The following is a 24,060-nucleotide window of genomic DNA, read 5'->3' as shown; positions in this document are numbered from 1 at the left end:
GCTGGAACAAAGGAGATTTAATTGAAGACATCAGGGTTGTTATATCCACGAGAACAGTGAAGCACATCTATTTTTCAGGTCCATTTTTTTTAGTCTATTCTTCCCTTGATTTTGAAAAGTCAGCTTTTGGCTTTCAGAAATAAAGGAAAATCTTAAACATATGACTTAATGTGAAGTATAGAAATGAAACACAAGACATAATCTGATTAATTCTGTAAACATCCTAGGAGGAACCAATCATTTTTTACTAGCATGCATAATAATTCAGAATTCTCTTTTTTACTTGTTTCATTTGCTTGTGCTCACACGTGCACTTGCATTCTCTATCTCGCTCTTTGACTCTATCTCTGTCTCGCTTCAGATTCTAAAAACTGCAATGGCTAAGCATGCCTTATACTACAGCAAAACTCTTTAATATTATGCAAATGTTTAAAATACAAATTGGCCTTGACCCAGAGATTTCATTTATTTGAAAATATTTCCTTTTAAAGACTGTATTTCAAGCATGTAATTTTAATCACTAAATGCTTTTAATTGGGAAGATATGCAATACAAATGAAATGCCACTCCTAATTGTTGCTAATCAGCTCTTTTTAGCAGCTGCTCTCTTGTGCTTAAGTTAGATGAGCTGCATTCATAACAAAAATATAGTATATTCAACCACTGAATACTAGTACTAGAACAGACTTCAGATATCATCTAGCCTTACTTCTCCTCTTATGAAAAGGACACTAAGACACAGTAAGGTTAGGTGACTTGCCCGTGATCACACAGCTGGTTTATTGCAGAACCCGATTTGAAAGCCAAGTCTCTTAGTTTTTAGTTCAATGATTTTTTCACTGAAATATGGTTACTTCTCAAAAGGAAGTCCTTTTGATGCTGGCAAGAACTCTGTATTCTGGAGAGCTCTCAGTATGAGAAACTTATCAGGTAATTACTGCCCAAAAAGAGCAAAAACAAAACAAAAACTATTGTGTTTTCTGATCCCAGAATATTGAGCTACTGATAAAAAGATTTCTTCCCTGCTCCCTTCAAAACTACCACCCCTAAAAGTAATGTTTATTGAAAAAAGAAACCAAAGAAATACCATCTAAAATTTTAAGAGTATATAATTAAATACAATTTTAACTTGCTCATTTAAGAATATGAATAAATATTGAGTGCTATTATTTCTATGTATAAATTGAGTCAGGTTCTCAAAACAAAATTCACCGTTACTATTCTTCAATAGCTGGTATAAAGTATTTTACATTTCTTAGAAGATTTTCTTAAAAATTTCTTGTAAAAAGGTCCTTTAAGAACATTCTAAGAAAAGTCCAAAAGCTTTTTATGTTGCAGGTGTACTTTATCTGAACTATTGTTTTAAAGAAGCAGGGTAATGATCTAATGGTAAATTTTAATGAAAACTTGTGATTAGGTTAAACTTTAAAAAAATCAGTAATCAAAAATGAAAATATGATCTTTCACTAATAGACACTGCTGTAAACCTAACTGATTGCTTATTAATATCAGGAAAATAAAACTAAAGTTGCTTCTGGTTCATTGTATGTCAGAGAAAACCTCAGGTAAAGGAAGTCAGTAATAATACAACTTCAAGAAGGGAAAATAGTGCTAAAAATTTAAGATCATATGAAGGTGTTTTATCTTTTAAGTCTCAGGGCTTCTTGAGTGCTTCTAACTCTGATTGGTTCTACCTTCTAAATTGATAAAAGACCTCAACCAGTTTCTTTTGGATCTACTATCATCAAAGTCCAGAAATCTCCTTTTCTCCAAAAGAAGATTTCAGTTTCTCTATCACATGAGAAGGCCATTTCTTCTGTGTCCCATGGCCTCTGACTATTGATTAAATGGACGTCATAATAAAGATGGTGGCAAATTTTGGTGAGAGAAGTTTGGTAAATGACAAATTTGTCTGTGGATCACATTCTTTTGGAAATGGGTAAGCATTGTAAGAATAGTTCGTATCTTTTGCTCTTTAATGTAAATACTTTCAAATTGGCAGTAACTAGTCAGAGATGGCTCATTCTAATCAAGTCCTTGGTGAATAATTGGAAGTCATTAATGCTATAGTGGGTGAATGACAGAATCTTGTGGTAGATTTTTTGTTGTTGTTATTTTTGGTCACTAAAACATTGGACACATATATGAATGAAAGTCCCAGATTTCTCAGTGACCTGGTTTTTGAGAAGTAGGATGTAGCCCAAGTAGAATCAAACCTCCACAGGCAGGGCTGTGAAGCTGAAGGATGGCATGGGAGAGGCAGCAAACTTGGGTCTTTTTTCCCTTGAACATTTCAAACAGATCAAAAAATTTTTTCCCAGTGGAGGCAAAGGACTGGGAATCATAGACGTGTCTTTTTTTATAAATCTGGATTTTAACTAAAGTGCATATTCTTCTTTGTTGGAGGTAAGACTAGTCAAGGAATGGGGAGTATGGGATAGTCGTGATATGTATCCGGGATAAGTGATAACTGAAGTAAAAAGAGAAAAGTTTAGGGCAGAAAATACGAGGCCATGCACAGAGGGGCTAAAGAAAGCTTCAGGTAAGTCCATTTATAAGGTCTATCCAGTTGGCCTGACACCATGGGATATATCTGGAGATGTTAAAAGGGCCTTACCTCTGACTCATACTTTCCTGCTTTAATTTAGGGGGAGGCAGAATTCATTGCCATTTGTCCTAATAGTTTCTGTTTTTGTTTTAGAAGAAAGTACCATGTCTTCTGAGATGATTTCTGACTCTTCATTAGCTCTGACTCATCTTAAAACAACTCATTGATAGGAAAAATGCCACCAATTTTCTGTAAGCATAACTACTGTTTATATATTTAGGGAGTCTTTACCTACTCAAATTTACTAGAAGTATTTAATATTTCTAGTTAAGATACTATGCCCCATAGCAACGAAGCTAGGAGTGATTTAAGTTATGTTTGGGATCAAGTTGAATTAAGAGAAACAATGATATTTTTGTACTACTAGTGATTTTTTTCTTCAAGTGCAGTGAATATAACACACTTTAATCAGGGCATCAATACAATATAATCTCTAACCTCCATCCAGAGATTAATAACATGTATGAAATTACACCAAAATTAATTAAAATGATGTATTGAAAGTCAGAACCAGTATTTTATGGCACAATATTCAGCAACTATGTAAGTCATTCGAATAACTAAAATTTCCATTAATATCCAACTAACCAATTCTTTACAGACCCAGCAAGTGACAAGCTTAAAGACACTGGTCCCAGTTTTGCTCAATGAAACACAGACATTTTTAATGACTGATAGCAGTTTAGATAAAAATGATTATGGGTGGTTGGTCAGAAATATTTTTTCATATGCCACAATACTAAAAGAAAAAAAATACTATAATGAAAGACAGAGCAAGATGGCAGAATAGAAGCTTCCATTGATCATCCTCCCCACAAGGACACAAATTTAACATCTATCTACAAAGAAAAAACACCTTCATAGGAATGAAAAAATCAGGTGAGCACTCATAGTACTTAGTTTGAACCTCATACCCCAAAAGAGGCACTGAAGAGATTAAAAGAAAAAAAAAAAGTTGAATCACCGAAGCCACTTCTCCTCCCCCAACTGCTGCAGTGGCCTCATGGTACAGAGAGCTTCTCTGGGCACTGGGGGAGGAAGAATACAGCAATTGTGAGCCATTGAACTCAGTGCTGTTCTGTTAGAGCAGAAAGAAATACCAGACCAAACGCAGCTGACAATCGCCCACAGAGGGAGCATTTAAACCAGCCCTATCTGGTGGGGAACCACTGATCCCAGTGGTCCAAATTTGAATTCTCACAAACCTTGCCACCAAGGGCCAAAGTGCTCTAGGTCTCTAAGTAAACTTAAAAGGCAGCCTAGACCATAAGGACTACAACTCTTAGGCAAGGCCTAAGGCAGAACTGGGCATAGGACAGTGGACTAGGGTGGCATGCAGCATACTGAGACATCAGCTGGGGAAGCATCCCCTGTCCCCTAACCCAAGGCTGCACAGTTCATGGCTCCAAAAGAGACACCTTTCTTCTACTTAGGGAAAGGAGAGGTAAGAGTGAGGAGGTCTCTCTTTTACATCCCGGATACCAGCTCAGCCACAGCAGGATAAGGCACTGGATAGAGTCATGAGGCCCCCATTCCAGGCCCTAGCTCCCAGATGACATTTCTAGACAGCTGGCTTCAGGTACCAGCATGGCAACAGGGGAGCAGAGCACCAAGTGGGCTTTTGGGGTCCTCAATTCCAGGACACGACCCTTGGGTAGCATTTCTGGACCTGTGCTGGAACAGAGGGGAGCCCATTACCCTGAAGGGTGAGTCCCATGCCAGGCAGCAATCACCACAAGCTGACTTAAGAGCCTTTGGGTCTTAAGGGAATATCAGCAGTAGTTTGGCAGGACTCCTTGTGGCCTGGGGTGGCAGTGGCTACAGGATGAGGCTTCTCTGCCTTTGGAAAGTACAGGGAAGCAAGGGAAGGATTGCATGTTGTGGTTTGAGTGCCAACTCAGTCGCGGTACAATAGAACAGCAGGGAGACTTCTAAGGTTTTTGACTGTAGTCCCTCACTTCCAGATGGCACCTCTGTACCCACCTGGTCCCAGAGAGACCTTGTTACCCTGAAATGAAAGACATAGACCTGGCTGGCTTTGCCACTGGCTGACTGTAGAGCCACAGGTCCTTGAACAAGGGTGAGACCCAGTGCTGAGCTTGAACTTGGGTGAGACCCAGTGCTGAGCTGGCTTTAGGTCTGACCAGGTGCAGTCATAGTGGTGAAAGCCACAGTGGTGCTTGTGTTACCATATCCCCAACCTTAGGTGGCTCAGAACAGAGAGGGACTCTGCTTGAGAAAAATAAGGGAACAGAACAACAGTCTCTGCCTGGTAATACAGAGAATTCCCTTGGATCTTGTCCAAACCATTGAGGTGGTGCCTCTGTGAGTTTGCAAGAACCACAGTGTTAGTGGGCTTGGAGTGTACCCTAAAGCACATACAGCTTAGATCACAATACCAAAGCCCTTTCAAATACCTGGAAAGCATTCCCAAAAAGGATGGGTATAAATAATTCCAGACAGTGAAGAGTACAATAAATACCTAACTCTTCAATGCCTAAACACTGAAGAACATCTATTAGCACTAACACCATCCAGGAAAACGTGATCGCACCAAATGAACTAAATAAGTCACCCAGGACAAAGCCTAGATAAACAGAGATATGCAACCTTTCAAACAGAGTTCAAAATAGCTGTGTTGAAGAAACTCAAAGAAATTCAAGATAATGTGGAGAAGGAATTCAAAATTCTATCAGAGAAATTTAACAAAGAGATTGAAATAACTAAAAATAATGAAGCAGAAATTCTGAAGTTAAATAATGCAATAGATATACTGAAGAATGTGTCAGAGTCTTTTAATGGCAGAATGAATCTAGCAAAAGAAAAAGTTAGTGAGCTTGAAGACAGGGTATTTGAAAATACACAGAGGAGACAAAAGAACAAAGAATAAAAAACAACGAAGCATGCCCACAGGATCTAAGAAATATTAGTAGCCTCAAAAGGGCAAATCTAAGAGTGACTGGCCTTAAAGAGGAGGTAGAGAAAGAGATAGGGGTAGAAAGTTTTTCAAAAGAATAATAACAGAGAACTTTCCAAACCTAGAAAAATATATCAATATCAAAGTAAAAGGAAGTTTTACACCAAGAAGATTTAATGCAAAGACTACTTCAGGTAATTAATAATTAAACTCCTAAAGATCAATGATATAGAAAGGATCCTAAAGACAGCAAGAGAGGGAAAATACACAAACACACACACACACACACACACACACAATGGAGCTCCAATACGTCTGGAAGCAGGCTTCTCAGTGTAAATCTTACAGATCAGAAGAGAGTGGCATGACATATTTAGAGTGCTGAAGGAAAATAAACTTTTACCTTAAAATAGTATATCTGGTGAAAATATCCTTCAAACATGAAGGAGAAATAAATATTTCCCCAGACAAAAGCTGAGAGATTTCATCAACACGAGATCTGCCCTACAAGAAATGCTAAAGGGAGTACTTCAAACACAAAGAAAAAGACATTAACGAGCAATAAGTAATCACCTGGAGGTACAAAAGTCACTGGTAACAGCAAGTACACAGAAAAACATAGAATATTATAACACTGTAACTGTAATGTGTAAACTACTCTTATCCTAAGTAGAAAGAATAAACAATGAACCAATCAAAAGTAATAACTACAACCACTTTTCAAGACATAGTCAGTACGGCAACAAAAAGTTAAAAAGCTTGGGGATCAAGTTAAGGTGTAGAATTTTTATTAGTTTTCTTTTTGATTGTCAGTTTATGCAAACAATGTTAAGCTATTATCAGCTTAAAATACTGCATTATAAGATGGTATTTGCAAGCCTCAAAATAACCTCAAACCAAAAAACATAAAATGAAAACACAAAAAATGACAAGCAAGAGACTAAAACATTTCACCAGAGAAAATCTCCTTCACTAGAGGAAGACAGGAAGGACAGAAAGAAGGAAGAGAAGACCACAAAACAACCAGGAAACAAATAATAAAATGGCAGGAGTAAGTCCTTACTTATCAATATTATTCAATGTAAATGAAATAACATCTTCAATTAAAAGACAAAGAATGGCTAAATGGATGAAAAAATGAGAACCAGTGATCTGTTGCTTATGAGAAACACATTTCACTTATGAAGACACACATAGACTGAAAATGAAAAAGAGAAAAAGATATTCCATGCCAATGGAAAACAAAAAAGAGCAGGTGTAGCTATACTTATATCAAACAGAGTAAATTTCAAGACAAAAGCAATTAAGAAGAGAGAAAGTCAGTATATAATGATAAAGGTTTCAATTCAGTCAGAGGATACAACAATTTTAAATATATATGCACCCAACACTGGAGCTCCTGGATATATAAAGAAAATATTATTAGAGCTAAAAAGAGATTGTCCCAAGTACAATAATAGCTAGAGACTTCAATGCCCCACTTTTAGCACTGGACAGATCTTCCCAACAGAAAATCAACAAAGAAACATCAGACTTAATCTGTACTATACACCACATGCATCTAATAGATATTTACAGAACATTACATCCAACAGCTGCAGAATACACATTCTTTTCCTCAGCACATGGATCATTGTCAAGAATAGACCATATGTTAAGTCACAAAGCAAGTCTTAAAACATTCAAAAAATTGAAATAATATCAAGCCTCATCTCTAAGCACAATAGAATAAACCTAGAAATCAATAAAGAGAGGAATTTTGGAAACTATACAAATACACGGAAATTAAATAATATGCTGCTTAATGATCAGTGGGTCAATAAAGAAATTAAGAGGTAAATTGAAAAGTTTCTTGAAACAAATAATAAAGAAAACACAGCATACCAAAACCTATGGGGTAGAGCAAAAGCAGTACCAAGAGGGAAGTTTATAGCTATTAGTGCCTACATCAAAAAAGAGGAAAACCTTCAAATAAAGAATCTAACAATTCATCTTAATAAGTAGAAAAGCAAGAACAAGCCAAACCCAAAATTAGTAGAAGGAAATAAATAATAAAGATTAGAGTAGAATAAAATGAAATTGAAATGAAGAAAATGAAAAAAGATTGTTGAAGAAACAAAAAGCGGCTTTTTAAAATAGTTAAACAAAATTGACAAACTGTTAGCCAGATGAACTAAGAAAAAAGAGAGAGGATATAAATAAATAAAATCAGAAATGAAAAAATGAGACTTTACAACTGACACTGCAGAAATGCAAAGGCTCATTAGTGGCTACTATCAGCAACTATATGCCAATAAATTGGAAAACCTAGAAGAAAATAGAGAAATTCCTAGACACATAGAACCAACCAAGATTTCACCAGGAAGAAATTCAAATCCTGAACAGGCCAATAACTAGTAGTGAGATCAAAGCTGTAATAAAAAAGCCTCTCAGTAAAGAAAAGCCTGGGACCCGATAGCTTTACTGCTGAATACTACCAAACATTCAAACAAGAACTAATACCAATTCTACTGAAACTATTGCAAAAAATAGAGGAGAGAATATTTCCAGACTCATTCTATGAGACCAACATTACCCAGATACAAAAATCAGACTAAGACACATCAAAAAAAGAAAACTGGGTGTTGGCGGGGCCAAGATGAGTGGCGGTGGTGCCAAGAAAGCTGATTAGATGCAGGTGTGGTTGGCAGCTCTCACCAAGAAGAACAAAAAAAGCTAGTGCATCCTGCACCATCAACTAAGGTATCCAGGTTCTCACATTGGGACTGACTAGGCAGTTGATGCAACCCATGCAGAGAGAAAAGCACGGTGGAGTGATGGCCCATCTGCTAGTTGCACAGGGCAAGGGAAGTTCCTACCCTCAGCCAAGGGAGGAGGTTATTGTGCTACTCTGCTCAGGAAATCATGCTTTTTCAACCGATCTGCACAACTCAGGGATTAGGAGATTCCTTTGTGAGCCTATGCCACCAGGACTTTGGGTCCCAAGCACAGAATTGTGCAGAATCTCAGCAGCCGTTTGGGTTGGACCCAGCGGTAGGTAGCAGGCTGGAGACTGACTAAGATGACCAAGTTCCTGGGGGGAGGTGCGGCAGCCATCCCTGTGGCTCCAAACAGCCATTTTCTGCTGCCAGGGCCTGACAGACTGGAAGGTTTCGACTGGGAGGAATTCTCCACAGTGCAGCACAGTGGCTGTGACAGACTGTGGCCAGATTGCTTCTTTGGGTGGGACCTGGATCTATCCCTGTTCACTGGGCAAGGCCTCCCTACAGGAATATCAGCAACTCCAGTCAGGGGTTTATGGACAGAACTCTGATCTCACTGGGGCAGACACAATCTGAAATGATAAAGGGGATATCACCACCTACCCACAGAAACACAAACAACCATCAGAGAATACTATAAACACCTCTATGCAAATAAACTAGAAAATCTAGAAGAAATCGATAAATTCCTGGAAATATACACCCTCCCAAAACTGAACCAGGAAGAAATAGAATCCCCGAAGAGACCAATAATGAGTTATGAAATTGAAGGAGTAATAAATAGCTTACCAAAAAAACAAAGCCCAGGACCAGATGGATTTACAGCTGAATTCTACCAGAGGTACAAAGAGGAGCTGATACCATTTCTTCTGAAATTGTTCCAAACAACTGAAAAGGAGGGACTCCTCCCTAATTCATTTTATGAGGCCAGCATCATTCTTATACCAAAACCTCGCAGAGATGCAACCAAAAAAATAAAAATAAATAATGAAACTTCAGGCCAATATCTTTAATGAACATCAATACAAAAATCCCGAATAAAATACTGGCAAACTGAATCCAGCAGCAAATCAAAAAGCTTATCCACCACGATCAAGTCAGCTTTATCCTCAAGATGCACGGCTGGTTCAACATACACAAATAAATAAACATAATTCATCACATAAGCAGAACTAAAGACAGAAACCTCATGCTTATCTAAATAGACACAGAAAAGGCCTTCAATAAAATTCAACAACACTTCATGTTAAAAACTCTCAATGAACTAGCTATCGAAGAAACATATCTCAAAATAATAAGAGCCATTTATGACAAACCCATAGCCAATATCATATTGAATGGGCAAAAGCTGGAAGCATCTCCCCTGAAAACCGGCACAAGACAAGGATGCCCTCTCTCACCACTCCTATTCAACATAGTATTGGAAGTTCTGGCCAGGACAATCAGGCAAGAGAAAGAAATAAAATATACTCAAATAGAAATAGAGGAAGTCAAATTGTCTTTGCAGATGAGATGATCCTAAATCTAGAAAACCCCATTGTCTCAGCCCAAAAGCTTCTTAAGCTGATAAGCAACTTTAGCAAAGTCTCAGGATACAAAATCAGTGTGGAAAAATCACAAGCATCCCTAAACACCAACAACAGATAAGCAGAGAGCCAAATCATGAATGAACTCCAATTCAAAATTGCTACAAAGAGAATCAAATACCTAGGAATTCAGCTAACAAGGGAAATGAAAGACCTCTTCAAGAAGAACTACAAACGACTGCTCAAGGAAATCAAAGAGGACACAAACAAATGGAAAAATATACCTTACCATGCTCATGGATAGGAAGAGTCAATATTGTCAAAATGTCCACACTGCCCAAAGTAATTTATAGATGGTATTCCCATTAAACTACCATTGGCATTCTTCACATAATTAGAAAAAAAAACTATTTTAAAATTCATATAGAATCAAAAAAGAGACTATATACTTAAGACAATTCCAAGCGAAAACAACAAAGCTGGAGGCATCACACTACCTGACATCAAACTATACTACAAGGCTACAGTAACCAAAATAGCATGGTACTGCTACAAAAACAGAAACATAGACAAATGCAACAGAATAGAGAACTCAGAAATAAGACTGCACACCTACAACCATCTGATCTTTGACAAACCTGAAAAAAAAAAAACAAGCAATGGGGAAAGGGTTCCTTTTTTAATAAATGGTGCTGGGAGAACTGGCTAGCCATATGCAGAAAATTGAAATTGGACCCCTTCCTTACACCTTTTACCAAAATTAACTCAAGATAGATGAATGAATTAAATGTAAAGCCCAAAACTATAAAAACCCTAGAAGAAAATCTAGGCAATACCATTCAGGACATAGGCAAGGGCAAAGGCATCATGATGAAAATGTCAAATGCAACTGCAACAAAAGGAAAAATTGACAAATGGGATCTAATTAAAGAGCTTCTGCACAACAAAAGAAACAATCATCAGAGTGAACAAACAACCTACAGAATGTGAGAAAATTTTTGCAATCTATCCCTATGATAAAGGTCTCATATACAGAATCTATAAGGAACTTAAACAAATTTACAAGAAAAAAAAACATTAAAAAGTGGGCAAAGGACATGAACAGACAATTCTCAAAAGAAGATATACATGCGACCAGAAAACATATGGAAAAAAAGCTCAACATCACTGATCACTAGAGAAATGTAAACCAAAATCACAATGAGATACTATCTCAGGACAGTCAGAATGACAATTATTAAAATGTCCACAAAATACAGATTCCGGCCAGGCTGTGGAGAAATAGAAAAGCTTTTACACTGTTGTTGTAAACTGTGGATTCATTAAACCTCTTTTTCTTTATAAATTACCCAGTCTCGGGTATGTCTGTACTAGCCATGTGAGAATGGACTGATACAGTAAACTGGTACTGGTAGAGTGGGGTGCTGCTGTAAAGATACCCCAAAATTTGGAAATGACTTTGCAACTGAGTAACAGGCAGAGACTGGAACAGTTTAGAGGGATCCTAAATAAACAAGAAGATGTGGGAAAGTTTGGAACTTCCTAGAGACTTGTTGAATGACTTTGACCAAAATGTTGATAGTGAAATGGACAATAAAGTCCAGGCTGAGGTGGTCTCAGATGGAGATGAGGAACTTGTTGGGAACTGGAGCAAAGGTGACTCTTGCTATGTTTTAGTGAAGAGACTGGTGGCATTTTGTCCCTGCCCTAGAGATTTGTGGAACTTTGAATTTGAGAGAGATGATTTAGGGTATCCGGCAGAAGAAATTTCTAAGCAGCAAAGCATTCAAGAAATGACTTCGGTATTGTCAAAAGCATTCAGTGTTATGTATTCACTACAATATGGTTTTGAACTTATGGAATTTATGTTTAAAAGGAAGGCAGAGCATGAAAGTTTGGAAAAATTGCAGTCTGACAATGTGATTGAAAAGAGAAAGCCATTTTCTGAGGAGAAATTCAAGCTGACTGCAAAAGTTTGCATAGGAAACAAGGAGCCAAATATCAATCGAGAAGACAATGGGAAAATGACTCCAGGACATGTCAGCAGATTTCATGGCAGCCTCTCCCATCCATCACAAGCTGGGAGGCCTAGGAGAAAAAAATAATTGTTTCATGAGCTGGGACCAGGGCCTTGCTGCTTTGTGCAGTTTGGGGACTTGATGACCTACATCCCAGCCATGGCTGAAAGTGTCCGATGTAGAGCTCAGGCTGTTGCTTCAGAGGGTGGAAGCCCCAAGCCTTGGTGGCTTATACGTGGTGTTGGGCATGAGGGTGAACAGAAGTCAAGAACTGAGGTTTGGGAACCTCCACCAAGATTTCAGAGGATGTAGGGAAACAACTGGATGTCCAGGCAGAAGTGTGCTACAGGGGCAGAGCACTCATGGAGAACCTCTGCAAGGGCATGGCAGAAGGGAAATGTGGGGTGGGAGCCTCCACAAAGAATCCCCACTGGTGCACTATCTAGTGGAACTGTGAGAAGAGGGCCACTGTCATCTAGACCCCAGAATGGTAGATCCATTGACAACTTACACCATGTGCCTGGAAAAGCCACAGACACTCAATGCCAGCCTATGAAATCAGCCAGGAGAGGGGCTGTACCCTGCAAAGCCACAGGGGTGGAGCTGCCCAAGACCATGGGAACCTACCTCTTGCATCAGCATGACCTGGATATGAGACATGGTGTCAAAGGAGATCATTTTTGAACTTTAAGATGTGACTGCCCTATTGGATTTCAGACTTTTATGGGGCCTGTAGCCCCTTTATTTTGGCCAATTTCTCCCATCTGGAATGGGTGTATTTACCCAATGCCTGTACACCCATTGTATCCAGAAAGTAACTTGCTATTGATTTTATAGGCTCATAGGTGGAAGGGGCTTGCCTTATCTCACCTGAGACTTTGGACTTGGGCTTTTGAGTTAATGTTGAAATAAGTTAAGACTTTGGAGGACAGTTGGGAAGCTATGATTGGCTTTAAAATGTGATGACATGAGTTCTGGGAGGGGCCAGGGGCAGAAAAATATGGTTTCGCTGTGTCCCCACCCAAATTTCAAATTGCAGCTCCCATAATTCCCATGTGTCATGGGAGGAACCTGGTGTGAGGTAATTGAATCATGGAAGCATTTCTTTCCTGTGCTGTTCTTGTGATAGTGAATAAGTCTCATGAGATCTGATGGTTTCATAAAAAGGAGCTCCCCTGCACACGCTCTCTCTTGCCAGCCTCCATGTAAGACCTGCCTTTCTCCTCCTTTGCCTTGTGCCATGATTGTGAGGCCTCTCCAGCCACGTGGAACTGTGTGAGTCAATTAACCCTATTTTTCTTTATAAATTACCCAGTCTTGGGTATGTCTTTATTAGCAGCATGAGAACAGACTAATATAACCTAGGACCAGAAATACCATTTGACCCAGCAATCCCATTACTGGGTATATACCCAAGGGAATATACATTATTGCACGATACAGATACATGCACATGTATGTTCATTGCAGCACTATTCACAATAGCAAAGATGTGGAATCAACGCAAATGCCAATCAATGATAGACTGGATAAAGAAAATTTGGTACATATACACAATGGAATACTATGCAGCCACAAAAAGAAATGAGATCATGTCCTTTGCAGTAACATGGGTGGAGATGGAAGCCATTATCCTCCGCAAACTAACACAGGAACAGAAAATCAAACACCACATGTTCTAACTTATAAGTGGGATCTGAACAACGAGAACGCATGGACACAGGGAGGGGAACACCACACACTGAGGCCAGTTAGGGAAGGAGAGCATCAGCTAACTAGCTAATGCATGCTGTGTTTAATACCTACATGATGGGTTGATAGGTGCAGCAAATCACCACGGCACACATTTACCTATGTAATGAACTGCACATCCTGCACATGTACCCTGGAACTTAAAAATGATAATAAAAAGAGAAAACTACAAGCAAATATCTCTGATGACTATTAATGCAAAAATCCTCAACAAAAATACTAGCAAACCAAATTCAACAATACATTAGAAAGATCATTCATCATAACCAAGTGGGATGTACCCCTGGTAAACAAGGATGGTTCAACATATGCAAATCAATGTGAGATATCATCAATAGAATGAAGGATAAAAACCATATGATCATTTCAATTGATGCTGAAAAAGCATTTTATAAAATTCAACATCCCTTCATGACAAAAACTCTCAAAAAACTGGGGATAGAAGGAACATATCTAAACACAATTAAAGTCACATATGAAAGATCCACAGCTAGTATCATACTAAATGTGGAAAAATGGAAATTCTTCCCTCTAAGATCTGGAACATGACAAGGATGCCCCCTGTCACCACTATTATTCAACATAGTACTGGTAGTCCTAGCTAGAGCCATCAGATAAGAGAAAGATATAAAGGTTATCCAAATTGGAAAGGAAGAATTCAAATTATCATTGTTTACAGATAATATGGTCTTATATTTGGAAAAAACTAAAGACTCCACAAGAAAACTATTAGAAATGATAAACAATTTCAGTAAAGATGCAGGATCCAAAATCAACATACAAAAATCAATACCACTTCTATATGCCAACAGCGACCAATGTGACAAAGAATTTAAAAATTATTTCCATTTATAATAGCCACACAAAAAATTAAATACCTAGGAATTAACTTATCCAAAGAAGTAAAAAATCTCAATCACGAAAACTATGAAACACTGATGAAAGCAATTGAAGAGGGCACCAAAAAAGGGAAAAAATATTCCATGTTCATAGATTAGAAGAATCAAAATTGTTAAAATGTCCATACTACCTAAAGCAATCTACAGGTTCAATGCAATCCCAATAAAAATTCCAATGATATTCTTCACAGAAATAGAAAAAAAATCCTCAGATTTGTATAGAACCACACAAAAAACCCAGTATAGACAAAGCTATCCTGAGCAAAAAGAACAAAACTGAAGGAATCACATTACCTGACTTCAAATTATACTACAGAGCTATAGTAACCAAATAGCATGGTATTGGCTTAAGAACAGACACATATACCAATGGAACAGAACAGATAACCCAGAAACAAATCCTCACTACTACAGTGAAATAATGTTTGACAAGGTTGCCAAAAACATACATTGGGGAAAATACAATCTCTTCAATAAATGGTGCTGGAAAAACCTGATATCCACATGCAGATGAATGAAATTAAACCCCTATCTCTCACCATATAGAAAAATCAAATCAAATTGGAGTAAATACTTAAATTTAAGATCTCAAGCTATTATACCATACAAGAAAACATTGGAAACAATCTCCAGGATGTTGGTCTGGGCAAAGATTTCTTGAGCAATACCTCACAAGCACAGGCAACCAAAGCAAAAATGGGCAAATGGGATCACATCAAGTTACAAAGCTTCTGCACAGCAAAGGACACAATCAAAAACAAAGTGAAGAGACAACCCACAGAATGGGAGAAAATATTGCAAACTACCCATCTGACAAAGGATTAATAATCTGAATATATGGAGAGCTCAAATCACTCTAGAGAAAAAGAAATCTAATATTGTAATAAAAAATGGGCAAAAGATTTGAATAGGCATTTCTCGAAATAAGATATACAAATGGCAAACAGGCATATGAAAAGATGTTTGACATAATTAATCATCAGAGAAATGCAAATCAAAACTACAATAAGATATTATCTCACCCCCTGGCTTTTATCTAAAAGACGGGTGGTAACAAATGTTGGCAACGATGTGGAGAAAAGGGAATCCTTGTACAGTGTTTGTGGGAATGTAAATTAGTACAATCACTTGGAGAACAGTTTGGAGGTTCCTCAAAAAACTAAGAATTGAGCTACCATTACAATCCAGCAATCCCATTGCTGGGTATACGCACAAAAGAAAGGAGATAAGTATATCAAAGTGATATCTGCACTCCCAGGCTTTTTTGCAGCACTATTCACAGTAGCCAAGATTTGGAAGCAACTGAAGTGTTCATCAACAGATGAATGGGTAAAGGAAATCTGGTACATATACAAAATGGAGTACTATTCAGAAAAGAGAATGAGAGCCTGTCATTTGCAACAACATGGATGGATGGATCATTATGTTAATTGAAGTAGGCCAGGCACAGAAAGAGAAACTTCACACGTTCTCACATATTTGTGGGAGCTAAAAATTTCAGCAATTGAACTCATGAAGACAGAGAGTAGAAGGTGGTTACCAGAGGCTAGCAAGGGTTGTTGGTAGGCAGGGGAGGTAGGGATGATTAATGGGTACCAAAAAAGAAAGAATGAATAAGACCTAGCGTTTGCTAACACAACAGGGTGGCTACAGTCAATAATAATTTAATCATATATTTTAAAATAACTAAAAGTATCATTGGATTGTGTGTAACACAAAGGATAAATGCTTGAGGGAATGGATGTCCCATTTACCACGATGTGATCATGACAATTGCATGTCTGTATCAAAGTATTTCATGTACCCCATGAATATATACACCTATGATGTACTAACAAAAATTAAAAAGAAAAAAGAAAAAAGAAAAAAGTAAATACATTAAAAATTTAAAAACACTATAAAATTCAAGAGCTAAGAACAATTTTTCATAAATAAATCTATAACTAAAAATATTCGCTTAAAAAACGCTTGTAATTAGTTCTATCACACACCACTATCAACTTTTGTGTCTCATTCATATATTGAATCTTCCATTAGTTTTTCCTTTGCCTAATTCTAGATGTCAATTTTTATCTTTTTCTTATCCATTAACAATCAGGAAATAGTTTCGCTCAAAGTTTATTATTTTAAAATTGCTAATAATTCTTACATAACTATGAAATCAAATTAGAAAAATAATGATTTTACTATTGAAAATAATAAAACTTCCTTTACTAGCTGAGGTTGAATCATTTATAATACATATACCAATATACTCATATGTATCAATTTTCTCATTCCAATTTTTTATGTTAAGATTTGAAATTAGGTTGGCAAAACATTCATATTTGATTAACATAAATATTCTATTTATGAAGTGGGTTCATTACATAAGATTTTGCTAGTGCTAATAATAAATATGTTTTCTGTATATATAAAACAAAATTAATATTGAAAAACTTTTGTGCAATTAGTGAAATGTAAATCTGACCTGAAATTAGAAGAAAACCACCTCAGGCTACTCTGTTTTATCATTTAGCACTGTGTTCCCCTTCAGTCACACAGATAAGAAAGTAACTTCTACATTTACGATAAATTATAACATATTATGAATTTGTTAAAAGGCACTATTACTTCATAAAATATCTTTTTATCAAAGGACTTGATATATGTCCTAATACTATTTCACCTATGACCACTAAAGTATGTGTTATTCAAATAGCATTTATTGTTTCAACATTTCTGAAATATTTTATCTGAGAATGCTCATCATTTGAAGGTTTTTGAAGGTTTTCAAGTCTGACTCCTTTTTGGAGTTAATAAAATCTTTCTATAAAATACAAAATCCTCTCTTATGAATATGTGTAAGGGTGAGCTAAAGCAATGGTTTTCTATTGTTGAAATTCCTGGGGCCCCCACCGCAACCCGAGAAAACATTTGTCAAACTCTGGAGACATTTTTGCTTGTCACAATTGGGCAAGAGAGTGCCACTAAGATCTATTTGGTAGAGGCCAGAGATGCTGCCAAACTTCCTGCAGTGCATAAGACAGCTCTCACACCACCCCACAAGGAAGAATTATCTAGCTTCAAATGTCAATAATGCCAAGGTTGAGAAGCCCTAGGCCAACACAATGAAAATTGCAATCCTAGAAGAAAAAGACTAAATTGTACCCCAATAGAAATTTTACTCTGAAATCGGCATAAATGGAATTATAAATGTAGGGTCCAGCAAATAATCAGAAAAGACTCTGAGAAAATATAAATGTATAGAAACTAATAACATTTGTGCATTAGAATCATTTGTGCAAACATCATTTTTTTAGGGCATTAAACTGACTATAACAAAACATACTTTTGTTTAGACTTTCGTATCTTGTGGCTAATTAAAAACCCGTAAGTCATTAACAAATAATACCTAATTTTGGGCTGGGCATGGTAGCTCATGCCTGTAATCCCAGCACTTTGGGAGGCCGAGGCGGGAGGATCACCTGAGGTCAGAAGTTCTAGACCAGCCTGGCCAACATGGTGAAACCCCGTCTCTACTAAAAATACAAGAAATTAGCTGAGTGCGGTGGTGGGCGCCTGTAAGCCCAGCTACTCAGGAGGCTAAGGCAGGAGAATTGCTTGAACCCGGGAGGCGGAGGTTGTAGTGAGCCGAGATCGTGCCATTGCACTCCAGCCTGGGCAACAAGAGTGAAACTCCGTCTCAAAAAAGAAAAAAAAAAAAAAAGAATTCCTAATTTTATGAAAATAGAAATGAAATAAATGCTTTGAGTAGGAGAAATTTTTTTTTTCCTCTCACTATCCTAGAAAAACATGAAAAGCAAAGCTTTTGACTTAGATTATTTGTATGCCAGGACAGAATAGCAGCAAACCAGTTTCTATTTGTTACCAATGGAAGTAGGGCCTGAAAGCTGCAACATTTATACAACAGCTTGAAAATAGAGGTGATAAAAATCAATGCATATGTAAAATATAATACTTGGGTTTATGTAAATCCAATTAGTCTAACGATCAGACCACCTGACTACAGAACTGGAGAAATCTTCATTTCCTCAGCCGACCTGTCAATTTCAACGAAAAATTTAAAATCAAACTTTGACTTAGGTTCCAAGACAAGTTCTTAATCAGAGCTAAAACCACAGGTGACAAAGAACTGAGGACACCCCATTTACCCTGATGTGATTATTACACATTGTATGACTGCATCAAAATATCTCATGTACCCCACAAATACGTACACCTACTATGTACTCATAAAAATTAAAAATGGAAGAAGAACAACTAAAAATATGGAAAAGAGTACGTATCCATAGAAGACATTAGTCTATTTATTTGATATGAATAAATGTCCAACTCTTTTTATTTTATGTTTAAGTTACATCTAATATTGGTAATTATTTCTTAAATGAAAGTGGCAAGTGTATTTGATCTGACAATATCATATGAAAAACTACAGTGGTTTAAATACCTAGGTTTTACAGGTAATTTTAATATTTTAATGTAATTTTTATAATTTCATGCATTATTTAGTGATTTTCTGATGTACAGTCAGTAAACATGTTTATGACAAAATATGGATAATTTTCCACAGCTCCCTACATCTTAATTAATCAGCATCACATTGAGCAATAATATGTAATTCAATCTATAGTGCAGAAAAAAAACACAATAGGATGAAAGCAGAATTATCACTACTTTGTAATCTACCAGGAAGCTGATCTTCATCCCTTACCTATTATAACATTGCATCTCCCTTATTCTCCTAAAATAGCTGTCACAAATATCAAAAGATGTGGCAGTTCTTGACAGTTAAGGGTTATACAATAAATGCTTCAACAGTATACAGTTAGCAGAAGGAGTTTTTAGTTTAAATCTTTTTAATTGGGAATATCAAGGCTTTTGTCTCCTTTTTATGATCTACTTTGAATAATGCTTACCAATTGGTAAGGACATATATAGGTAAACCTGTTTTCAATCCGTGAGCAGCCACATGTTTTAATTTAAAAGTGAAAAAAGAACAAGGTATACATCTAATTGTAATACAAATGTTGTATTTGGAAAGTCATATCTTGATAAGATTTTTAAGACAATGTTCTCAAAATTGAGTTCCAAACTATAATGCCCACAAAAACGTTTTGTAACATTGATAAGTTGCTATGATAAAAGGATGATAATTGAGCAATATGGTAGAAAATATTTTAAAAATACTTTTTATCTTGTCTAAAAATTAATGTAAAGTTCTAATATATCAGAGCCAGTATAATATTTATACTTTCCTTCTGGGAATCAAAGCAGAAGTTAAAATTGTAGGTATCCACAGCCTCTATATGTTATCACAGCATCTAATTGTAAGAAAAATGGTTTAAAATGTATGCAAGGCTACCAAGAAAATCTTCAAAACGAATGTAGCAATGCCAAAATAAACAGTTAAAAGAGGAATCTCTTATCAATGATGCCTATTACACTGAGGTTTGTGACACCTACAAGATCCAATTATAATTCTCTTAAAAATCCCTATTATTCTAAATAGACACACCTATTTGGTTTGACTTAATCTCTTAGAAGAGTAACAGATGCTGCTCCTTGTAAGATACTCTAAATGTAATAGAAACCAAGAATAAGGGTGCTACAACACTGAACTAAACTAAAGAGGGGAGTTTACTAATAACAGAAAAGAACATCTAATGGAGATTTGAGCTTATCTAATCCTATGAATAATTCTGGACTATTAAAAAATATTTTCTGAGAATCTTGAAATGCATTTGCTAAAGTAGATAATTTCTAGGAAGTATTTTTAAAGTATTTTGAAGGAAAATGAAATGTAGTAGGATGTAGTGGGGAGGGATATGATTCATGAAATTTGATTATTAACTTCTGAATAATGAAGAATTGGCTATGTTTTCAAATAAATTAGCTATACATATTATGCTAAATGTACTTTCAGGAACATAATGGCATGTACAAAGAATCCTGGATATTAAAGCAATGCTCAGGTAATAGACTTTGAAGTTATGTTTTCATTATCAAACACTAATAAAATCACAATACCTCAAAAATTTGACAACACTGGGATATATATATTGAAATATAGTGAACCCTATCAATGATAGTAGACTGGTAAACATTTGGTAAATACGGATTTTTAACTTCTGAAATAGACATTTTTCTCTTATCAAAATCAAGTTTCTGATTTGGCAAACTGCCAAGTAGTGAAATAAAAATAATTAATATAAAGATAACTCATGGACACAAAGAAGGGAACAACAGATATTGGGCCTACTTTAGGGTGGAGGGTGAGAGGAGAGAGAAGAGCAGAAAAAAATAACTATTGGGTACTTACCTGTCTTAGTACCTGGGTGATGAATTAATCTGTACAATAAACCCCCAAGACAGGAGTTTACCTATATAACAAACCTGCACATGTACTCCTAAACCTAAAATAAAACTTTAAAAAAACTAAAAAGTAAGTAAATAGTAAAGTTAAGGAACCTAATAATAAGTAATTTGCATTTTCAACATCATTACTCTAAAATTGAATGTGGACTAGTAAAACATTAGATTATTAAGCTAACTGAACTCTATACCACATCTTGTATTTAACTTGATTTTTATTATCACCATAATTATTTAGGTTTATAGCAATTGCTATTAATTCTATTGACTAGATACTTAAATTTAATTCAATTATTTTTATTAGGGACTATGCTAAATATTCAAGCTATCTCTATTAATTAAAGGCAAGTTTCAAAATAAACATACTTGGAAAGTGTTTAGTAATTCATAAAATTACTTCTTTTCATAAGTAATGTCATATAAAGAAATCAGTAATCCTGATATGCATAGTTGAATTGTAAAGTAGAAGTCTTCATCGTAGCAGGTTCAATGAGTCAATGTACGTAGAAATTTTTTTGTGGACCAAACTTATACTTATCTTTAGAAAAGTGATTAGTTCTGTTATAATAGGATACAGGCATTTAAGTCACCATCAAATGATACATGCTGCATATGAAATATATAATATCCAAAACCCTGAGTGAAAAATTCAGGCAAATGAATGTAGAAATCCAAAACATATGATGCAAAAATAAACTATTATGGGTGACAGCACATTTTGTATTGTTGATGAATGGAGACAAACAGCAAAATACAAATTTGATCCCAAATCAATGGTATCGATTATCTTCAAACCAGTAACACAGGAAAGTATAACAAAAATAATTAGATTATTGGTGACACCATGTTTTGTAATGTAGATGAACAAAGACAGACAACACTTGATCCTGCATCAATGGTATCAATTATCTTCAAGCCAGTATAATAGAAGACAGTATAAGCTGTTCTAAATATTTATGAAGAATATGTCCATGGAGATACAGTCATAAAGAATGTGCCTGTAGTCCCAGCTACTCGGGAGGCTGGGGCAGGAGAATAGAGTGAACCCCCATGGGGCGGAGTCTGCAGTGAGCCGAGATCGCATCATTGCACTTCAGCCTGGGCAACAGCGAGACTCTGTCTCAAGAAAAAAAAAAAACAAAAAAAAAATTCCTCTCTTACAAAAACCACTCAGAGCTTTGGCTCCACAATCTAAAACCTCATTTTGGAAAGCTGCTTAAGTGGCTCTGTATCTCATCCTGTCTTCAGGCTATACTCACATGGCCTGTAGACAAATGGCTATTTAGGGAAATATGTGTAGAAAAGGAGAAACTCGGTCACACATTGAGCTTCTGAAAACTTTACTTGTTTAGTAACTTGGCAAGACATTTAATACCTCCTACATTTTGTGGATCAGTGCATAGAAGCAAACGACATAGTCTTCACCTATTTGAATAATATCAAAGGAAATAGAAATCTTATGTCCAAAAGTAACATAATTCTAAATGCAATTATGCCTGTTTTCCATGTCTGTTTTTTTTGTGTGTGTAAAATTTAGCTTTAGAAAACACTACATTAGATGAACAATGCCAGCTCAGAAAAAAATTCACCCTATGTAAGCTTGATGACAGCGTTTCTGCTGTTAGACAATTCTTCAGAAGCTAGTCTTTTGCCAACAGAACCAAGTCAGCCTGAGAGTCGCTCTGCTAAATTAAAACAGAGTGAAGTTCAAGTTTGTGCAAGTAATAGTTGACCCCAATGATGTTTTGCAGAAGATGGCAGCTCTCTGGCTCAAGGTAGACGAGACCTTCAGAAGAAGGATGTAAAATGGAAAAGAAGGAATTACTGTAGAAATTTGGGGTTTTAAATATTGTGACTATATATTCTGGTTGTCCCTGTTTAATTTAATTTAATGTCCCTGTTTAATCTTAATTTGGAGGATAAATGATATACCCATCCTAATATTATACAGGGCAAATAGATAACAAAAATTCATAAGAGGATAAAATACATATTAAAAAATGTACAAAAAACGTTGGGCCTGGTAGTGCTAGCCTGTAGTCTCAGCTTCTAAGGAGGCTGAGGCAGGGGAATTGATTGAGCCCAGGAGTTCAAGGCTGTAGCATGCCATGATTGTGCCTGTGCAAAGCCACTACACTCCAGCCTGGGCAACACTGTGAGACCCTGTCTCTATAATACACACACACACACACACACAAAGGACACAAAGATAATTCATTCTTTAAGCTACAAAATGAATCTTTGTACACTGTACACTGTACAGGTCAAACCATTTGTCCACTGCCTCTGTGAAAAATCATTTGAGAAAGCAATACTTAATAATAAATATTGCCTAAGCAGTCATCAAAATAAACAGCTATCTTTTTAAGAAGCACCGACTGATAACTGCAACTAGGAAAGCAAATCCAATTATTCATGAAATAGCAATTGCTAACCATGTAGGAAAGCATAGAGTTATGCAGTCAGTTATTTGTGAGGAAACAACAAAACTCTCAACATCACACTGTAAACACAAAACAAAAAAGCTGTTGTCAGTAAAAAGAAGTGTCAATAATTCCTTGTGGCAATGCACCACAAATATGGGTGAATAAACTATCACTAACTCATTGAAATAATCACAAATTTAAGGAAACTTAACAGCAGCAACAGATTAAACAATTGTCAATGAACTGTGTAACAAGGCATGGAGACACTTTAAAATAACTTTTTTCTTTTTTTTTTTTTTGAGATGGAGTCTTACTCTGTCGCCCAGGCTGGAGTGCAGTGGCGCGATCTGGGCTCACTTCAAGCTCCGCCTCCCGGGTTCACGCTGTTCTCCTGCCTCAGCCTCCGGAGTAGCTGGGACTACAGGAGCCCGCGACCACGCCCGGCTAATTTTTTTGTATTTTTAGTAGAGACTTGGTTTCACCATGTTAGCCAGGATGGTCTCAATCTCCTGACCTCGTGATCCGCCCGCCACGGCCTCCGAAAGTGCTGTGATTACAGGCATGAGCCACCGCGCCCGGCCTAAAATAACTCTTGAGGTTACATAAGAACATAGTTTATGTTTACTTATAGCTGTATCTAATCTAATTAAGAACTTGTTCCTTAAGATGAAAAAAAGAAACAAAAATAATTGTGTCACTAAATTCCATAGTTGCCTGGTAATAACAGGAAGGTTATTGGGTAAAATGCCATTTTTTACATTAATCAATACCTAAAAT

The 24,060-nt window shown here is 36.4% G+C and overlaps 1 protein-coding gene across 15 annotated transcripts in view, besides 1 other annotated feature; it reads right to left on the bottom strand.

Annotated features, from left to right (window-relative positions):
* The window catches only part of PCDH11X (protocadherin 11 X-linked), an 843,856-nt gene that overhangs the window by 753,031 nt on the left and 66,765 nt on the right, over positions 1–24,060 (bottom strand). The window lies entirely within an intron of this gene.
* Positions 8,498–8,670: a silencer, noted in NCBI's record as "fragment chrX:91116529-91116701 (GRCh37/hg19 assembly coordinates)". NCBI's record gives its function as "represses an EF-1alpha promoter that drives an FKBP-Casp9 reporter gene in an ReSE screen in phorbol 12-myristate 13-acetate-treated (for megakaryocytic differentiation) K562 erythroleukemia cells {active_cell/tissue: K562(+PMA)}" and the evidence as "EXISTENCE:reporter gene assay evidence [ECO:0000049][PMID:32094911]".

The sequence above is a fragment of the Homo sapiens genome, chromosome X (genome assembly GCF_000001405.40).
Source record: "Homo sapiens chromosome X, GRCh38.p14 Primary Assembly".
Classification (NCBI taxonomy): domain Eukaryota; kingdom Metazoa; phylum Chordata; class Mammalia; order Primates; family Hominidae; genus Homo; species Homo sapiens.
The sequence above is the reverse complement of the archived record's forward strand: the minus strand, read 5'-3'. Positions and strand labels throughout refer to the sequence as shown.